General features: G+C 40.7%; 1 annotated feature.

Annotated features, from left to right (window-relative positions):
• Positions 5,505-6,048: an enhancer, noted in NCBI's record as "NANOG hESC enhancer chr7:111276647-111277190 (GRCh37/hg19 assembly coordinates)". NCBI's record gives its function as "activates a minimal SCP1, AML or CMV promoter by ChIP-STARR-seq in primed H9 embryonic stem cells {active_cell/tissue: H9 hESC(primed)}" and the evidence as "EXISTENCE:reporter gene assay evidence [ECO:0000049][PMID:30033119]".

The following is a 7,493-nucleotide window of genomic DNA, read 5'->3' as shown; positions in this document are numbered from 1 at the left end:
CTGCCAGCATGTGCAGAGCCCTCCTTACCCTTGGGAAGTGAGCATGCGCAGTGTTTTTAGGAAGTTGTATGCATGCCCATCTGAGGCTTTCTTCCTGTTTACAGTGAAGTGTACCCGGAAGATCATACTTCGCCATTTTTGACTCTTAATGTGCATGCCCAGGAAGTTTCTTCTCCCTGGGGTCTGCCTTTAATTAATACTTTAATGTTGACAGGTGTGGACCCTCAGGAAATAGCCAATTTATCACTATTAGAGAGGCAATGTGATAATTGCCGAACCATCCGACATTTCTAATGGGTGCAGGGAAGAGGTCTCTCCTGCCCCACTCAGACCTAACTACCTGTAACACTCTCATCCCATCATGACCAGGAGTTCAGTTTTTCAGGCTTCTCTGGGTCCCCTTGGCCAAGAGGTGGCCCACTCAGTCATTTGGGGAGGTTTAGGATTTTAGTTTAGTTTATGCTAGACTATTCCTGTCTGCAGGGCCTCTGAATAACCATCTTGAAATATGTCAAAGAAGTATATTTTGGGGTAAAATGTTTTTGGTTTCCTTTACACACAAAAAATATTGTATCTTAAATAATCTTTGATCGACTAGACTGTTTCACAACCTATAGGGAAAATAGTTAAGTTGAAAAAACCTGGTGACAACCCAAATGTTTCTTTTCTGTAGTAATACAAAATATTTTTTCCATAAAAATGCAAATACACATGGCCGGGTGTGGTGGCTCACACCTGTAATCCCAGCACTTTGGAAGGCCGAGGTGGGCGGATCACGAAGTCAAGAGATCGAGACCATCTTGGTCAACCTGGTGAAACCCCGTCTCTACTAAAAATACAAAAATTAGCTGGGCGTGGTGGCACGTGCCTGTAGTCCCAGCTGCTCAGGAGGCTGAGGCAGGAGAATCATTTGAACCCGGGAGGTGGAGGTTGCAGTGAGCCAAGATCGCACCAAAGCACTCCAGCCTGGGTGACAGAGCGATACTCTGTCTCAAAAAAAAAAAAAAAAAAATGCAAATACACTTTGGGAGGCCAAGGTGGGCAGATCACGAAGTCAGGAGATTAAGACCATCCTGGCCAACATGGTGAAACCCCATCTGCACTAAAAATACAAAACAAATTAGCCAGGCATGGTGGCGCGCGCCTGTAGTCCCAGCTATTCAGGAGGCTGAGGCAGGAGAATCGCTTGAACCCAGGAGGCAGAGGCTGCAGTGAGCCGAGATCACACCACTGCACTCCATCCTGGGCGACAGAATGAGACTCTGTCTAAGAAAAAAAAATGCAAATAAAAATTTTTGTCTGGTAGAGTTGCAATTGATTTCTAACTTTTAGAAGAGATAATCCCCAAACATGACATTTTAAGACCTATAAAATATTAACCAGTATGCACCTATTAACAAGTTCATTTCAGCATTTTTGGTATCCTACATACACACATACCTGTTATTCAAATTTTTATTTGAATTTTTTGGGTTTTTTTGTTTGTTTGTTTTTTGTTTTTTTAGACAGAGTCTCACTCTGTTGCCCTGGTTGTAGTACAGTGGTGTGATCTTGGCTCACTGCAACTTCCGCCTCCCAGGCTCAAGTGCTTCTCCTGCCTCAGCCTCCTAAGTAGCTGGGACTACAGGCAAGTGCCACCCTGCTCAGCTAATTTTTGTATTTTTAATAGAGATGGGATACAGGGTTTTACCATGTTGGTCAGGCTGGTCTCAAACTCCTGACCTCAAGTGATCTGCCCACCTCGGCCTCCCAAAGTGTTGGGATTACAGGCGTAAGTCATTGCACCTGGTCTGAACTGTTTTCAGTATCTTAATAGTTCTCTGATTAATTAATGAGTTAAAGGAAAAAAAAGGAAATGTGTGACATGTCTATATTTTATATTTGGCAAGAGTCATAAATGTCCCTTTTTGAAAATTATAGTTTAGAAAGTATTATATAACGGTTCAGGCAAGGGGTCTTCCTGGTTTGACAATAATAAATGCAAACTCGTGATTACATTTCTGTGATCCTCCTCTATATAGCAGTCACGTGACAGGTGAATTAATCCTTTAAACTCTCACTCCAAAAATCCTGCTCCAAGAACTTTTATTAAGCTTGTTTTAATCCTAAAGAAAGTCTAAATTTAGCTTAAATCCAAGGGGGAAGGGGGACATAAACCAAAAAGAAAAAAAAATTATATAAAGAGACATGGAGTAAGCATAGAGGGAGGGCTTTAAACTCTCATAAATCTCAGTCAAATTTTTGCTAGGTTTGAGAGAAATTATTATTTGGCTCACTTCCCTTACATTCTCTTTCTCTCCGGGCACTTGTCCCCTGCCACAACCAACTTTTAGAATTTTAATGCAAAGCAGCTCACTGCCTGCCTTCCCCATTTGCTCATAGCTAATTCTTCCTCTCCTGCCCTTCATGCCTTTCTGGGGTCACAGTGCATTCATGGGTTTACTCCCAATAGCATTTAAACAAAATAAAATTAAAAGGATCACTGAAAGTCCAGCCCAGTTCTGACTCATTGCTCATTGGAAGAAGATAATCTCAGCTTGTTGGTGGTTGCTCATTTTTTCATTTAACGAAAGACATCTGGATTTAAGACAAATAAAGCTGTGATGAAATACTTTGAACATCTGGAATCACAGAGAAGTTCCTGAATAGAGTGGGGAAAAAAGTAAGATAAAATATATCACTGTTGGCAAGGTGTGGCTCGTGCCTGTAATCTTAGCATTTTGGGAGGCCAAGGCAGGAGGATCTCTTGAAGCCAGGAGTTCAAGACCAGCCTAGGCAACATAGTGAGACCCTGTCTCTACTAAATAAATAAAGAACACTATTGTCTTTGTCCCTGTGGGGACTTTTTATAAGGGCACTGAGTCTTATAAATAACAGAAATTTATTCTTCACAGTTCTGAAGGCTGGGTAATCCAAGATCAACATTATCAGTAGATTCAATGTCTGTGAAATGCATTCTTCCTGTTTCAAAGATGGATGTCTTCTCACTGTGTCCTCACATGATGGAAGGGGTGAAGGATTTCTCCTGGCCTCTTTTATAGGGACACTAATCTTATTCATGAGGGCTCCACCCTCATGACCTATTCACCTCCCAAATGCCCCACCTCCTAATGCCATCACCTTGTGGGCTAGGATTTCAACATATGAATGGAGGGGGGCACAAACATTCAATCTGTAGCACCTTGTGTAAATTGTATATCTATGAACTACTTGTGTAAATAAAAAATGAAATAAAATATTAAAGGAATAAACTAGAAAAATAATGAGTAAGCATTTAAAATATTAATCAACAGTGCCCAACTTTGTTTTTTTGAGATGGGGGAGTCTCATATTTTGGGGCATCTGTTTCTGAGCACCCAAACTGGGGCATCAGCCATGATGCTTTATGATGGGGAGGAAAAGGATCATTCCTTTTCCACCTCTATGTGTGCTATCAAATGATATTATTTCAGTCCGGCAGAATAAGTGTTCAAAGTGTGGCATTACTTTTTTGTTTTTTTTTTTTTTTTTGATGGAGTCTTGCTCTGTCACCCAGGCTGGAGTGCGGTGGTATGATCTCAGCTCACTGCAACCTCCACCTCCCAGGTTCAAGCGATTATCCTGCCTCGGCCTCCCCAGTAGCTGGGACTACAGGCACACACCACCACACCTGGCTAATTTTTGTATTTTTAGTAGAGACAGGGTTTTACCATGTTGGTCAGGCTGGTCTCAAACTCCTGACCTCATGATCTGCCTGCCTCAGCCTCCCAAAGTGCTGGGATTACAGGCACGAGTCACTGTGCCTGGTAGCATTCCTACTTTTTAATCCTATTCCTCCCAATCTAATACCCCAAAGCTGGGACAACCAAAATGAGGCACAAATCTCAATCATCAAGGTTTATTAAGCCAGCTTTAAGCACGTCTGGGAAAAACACAAGCCACAGACACATCTGTGGCTGTTTTTTCCAAAGAGACTCTCAAGAGTTTTCGTATTTATACATTTTCTTAAAGTTGGGAAGGAGTGTAGGAAGAGGGGCAGGTAGGAGGTCGGGCGAATGGTTACATTCCCGGGGGACTTTGGTTAGTGCCTGGTCAATCTACATTTTACATAAGATAAGGTGAAGGTTTGAAGAGAAAAAGGGAGTAAAGGAAGATTCAGTTATGCAGGCATCACTGGCTAGGTGGAGAAATGAGTCTTGTCTTTGTTCTGCACCTGGGAAGATAAACTTGTACTACACTATCAGTGTGGAACTGAACAGACTTTAATTTTAGGAAGACCTTAAGTTAAATTGGCATGTCCTTGTTTATAGGAGACCGGCAAAGAACTTATGAATGATGTGTGGGGGCAGCCCTTCATAGATGCTTGAGGCCTTTTATCTTTCCATGGGGATCTGGCTGATGCATGTTAGTAACAGCTGTTCATTTGGAAGAGGGTGTTGCCTAACTCAGCCTCGCAGCTTAACCTCTTTTGCAATAAGAAGTTTAGGGGTCCTGAGATTTTTTTTGTTTTCCTTTATACCTCAAATTATCCTTTTGTTATCTTCCTTTCTTCTTCATCAAAACTCCTATTTTGAACTTAAATAGCCCTCAAGACCACCTGGACTAGTTGACATTCTCTCTTTAATATGCTCTCAAAACTCTTTATACTTTTCATTCTTCTCAGTTTTCATAATTTTGTTTGATAACCTTGAAGAACTATTTGTTTAATATGAGTCTCTCCACCTAGACCCTAAGTTCCATGAGGGCAAAACTGTTGTCTGTTTTATTCATAATTATATCCTTAATAACTAGCAAAGTGCCTGGTACATAGTAGGTGCTCATTAAGTAAGTGTTGAGTGAATATATTAATTTCCTCAGTATATTGCCTCTGTTCAATGGCTTCCAAGTAGGAAGCTTACAAAGATGGCATAGTATAGGATTCTTAAAAAGGCTTTAAAGTGGCTGGGAGTGGTGGCTCATGTCTGTAATCCCAGCACTTTGGGAGGCCAAGATGGGTGGAACACTTGAGGTCAGGAGTTCGAGACCATCCTGGCCAACATGGTGAAACCCCGTCTCTACTAAAAATACAAAAGTTGGCCAGGTATGGTGGCACGTGCATGTGGTCCCAGCTATTCGGGAGGCTGAGAGGCAGGAGAATTGCTTGAACCCAGGAGGTGGAGGTGAGATCATGCCACTGCGTCCAGCCTGGGTGACAGAGCAAGACTCTGTCTCAAAAAAAAAAAAAAATTAAAGCTAGACTATCTTAAATCCTAACTCCACTACTTATTATCTGTTGTAAGGACAAATGCAAATTAAAAATAAGGCCAGATGCAGGGGCTCACGCCTGTAATCCCAACACTTTGGGAGGCTGAGGCAGGCAGATTGCTTGAAGCCAGGAGTTCAAGATCAGCCTGGGCAACATAGTGAGACCCTGTCTCTATGAAAAATACAAAAATTAGCTGGGTGTGGAGGCATGCACCTGTAGTCCCAGCTACTCGGGAGCCTGAGGTGGGAGAATCACTTGAATCTGAGGGGTTCGAGGCTGCTGTGAGCCATGATTGTGCCACTGTACTTCAGCCTGGGTGACAGAGTATGACCCTGTCTCAAAAAAACAAAACACACACACACACACACAAACACACACAGAGAGAGAAAAGAAAGAAAAAAATGAAAATAAAGGAAGAGACTTTTCATCCTCTCCTTCTTCTTAAAGCATTTATCAAAACAAAACAAAACAAAAACCCTTCTAATTGTAAGGACTTCCTCCTCTCTTTGAAATGTATAAAATTCCATTTGAAAATGATAGGCCTTTTGTCACTTTTAAGACCTAGGAGCCATCTCTTTGAAATGTAAACATCAGAGGAGATAGTACCCCTGTCTTCTGTGGGAAGGTAGGAGCCTAACTTTGGTAGATACCTTGCTCCAAGCTGCAAAACTACCTCCTATTATAAAGAGATGAGATGCTTGTTTTTTCTTCTGGATAAAGCCAATTAGCTAACACCACAAAATATCAAGTAAAATGAGGATAACTATGTGTGACAAATAGTGCTGACAGACCTCTTACTATAATTATTTATCTTGAAAACATATATGTAGCCGGACATGGTGGCTCATGCCTGTAATCCTGGCACTTTGGGAGGCCAAGGCGGGTGGATCACTTGAGGTCAGGAGTTCGAGACCAGCCTGGCCAACATGGTGAAACCCCATCTCTACTAAAAATACAAAAATTCGCTGAGTGTGGTGATGGGAGCCTGTAGTCCCAGCTACTTGAGACGCTGAGGCAGAACAATCACTTGAACCCAGGGGGCAGAAGTTGCAGTGAGCCGAGATCATGTCACTGCACTCCAGCCTGGATGACAGAGCGAGACTTCATCTCAAAAAAAAAAAAAAAAAAAAAAGAGAAAAGAAAACATGTATGTAATGGGTTGTATCTGGTATCTGCTTGGCTATGGAAAAGGCTGAGATTTCTTTCTGTCTTTGCAATCTCTTAGCATATTGCCTGTGATGGGCATCACATTCTGGTTTAGTGCTTATTCAATAATAAAACTGTTACCTTTCTCTTCTTTCTTTGCTGAGAGATTGGGAAGAGATTTTGTTTTTAATTTCTCCAACACTATGTAACCTTAGCCAAATTACTTTTAACTGTAAAATTGGGCCTCAGTTCCCTTGTCTATAAAATAAGAATCCTAATAGGATTCTTAGAGTCCTAATGAGATTTATAGGATTGTTGTGAAGATTAAAGGAGTTAATACTATAAAGCACTTAAAACAGTGCCTGCCATAAATCAAAAACTCAGTGAGCATTGGTTATTATCATACAAAAGTGATCACCATAGCAACTTGTAGCATTGATGCTCTGAGACATATCTACATTTGAAAATAGTATCCTGGAGGCCACAATGTTCTCGATGGAAGTATTAATGTAGGCTCTGACAGGTAGAAAGGAAAATGTTGCCACGTATCTAACATCTGTGCTTTGTTGCATGTTGGTTAACTGTCTATTCAAGGGTGAAGGGGAGTTCTCCATGATATATTCTTTACATATTCTGTAGCTTACTTTTGGTAATATTTTTAAAACTTCAAGGACAGAGTTTTTATTTTCATCAAACTCATCCAATAACTCAATATGCTCCCTGGTTTCAAATTACCCCTTTTGGTTACATACAAATTTTACATTTAGCCATTTCTGTTTCAGCTTCATTTTCAGTATTCTAGTGTGGTGTTTTTAATGATTCTCATTTCATTATGTTTCCATTTTAATTTCTTAAACTGATTTAAATTATATATATTATTAAGTAGGGGAAAAGGCAATTTGAAGGGGAAAGCAAACTATTTTACTGATAATACTATAATAATTTGGTAACGAATTATCCCTTTGGGGTATATGTTAAATTCTAAAGCAATAAAGTATGTTAGCTGCAAACATTTACAATAAAGTAATTGCCAACTGCATAGAGGTTATTTCATTTCAGAAGTTGTAGGTCAGTGTTAGGGCTGAGTTCAGTAAACTGGAGGCAAACGCTTAACATTATAGTT

This window comes from Homo sapiens, chromosome 7 (genome assembly GCF_000001405.40).
Source record: "Homo sapiens chromosome 7, GRCh38.p14 Primary Assembly".
Taxonomy (NCBI): Eukaryota; Metazoa; Chordata; class Mammalia; order Primates; family Hominidae; genus Homo; species Homo sapiens.
The sequence above is the reverse complement of the archived record's forward strand: the minus strand, read 5'-3'. Positions and strand labels throughout refer to the sequence as shown.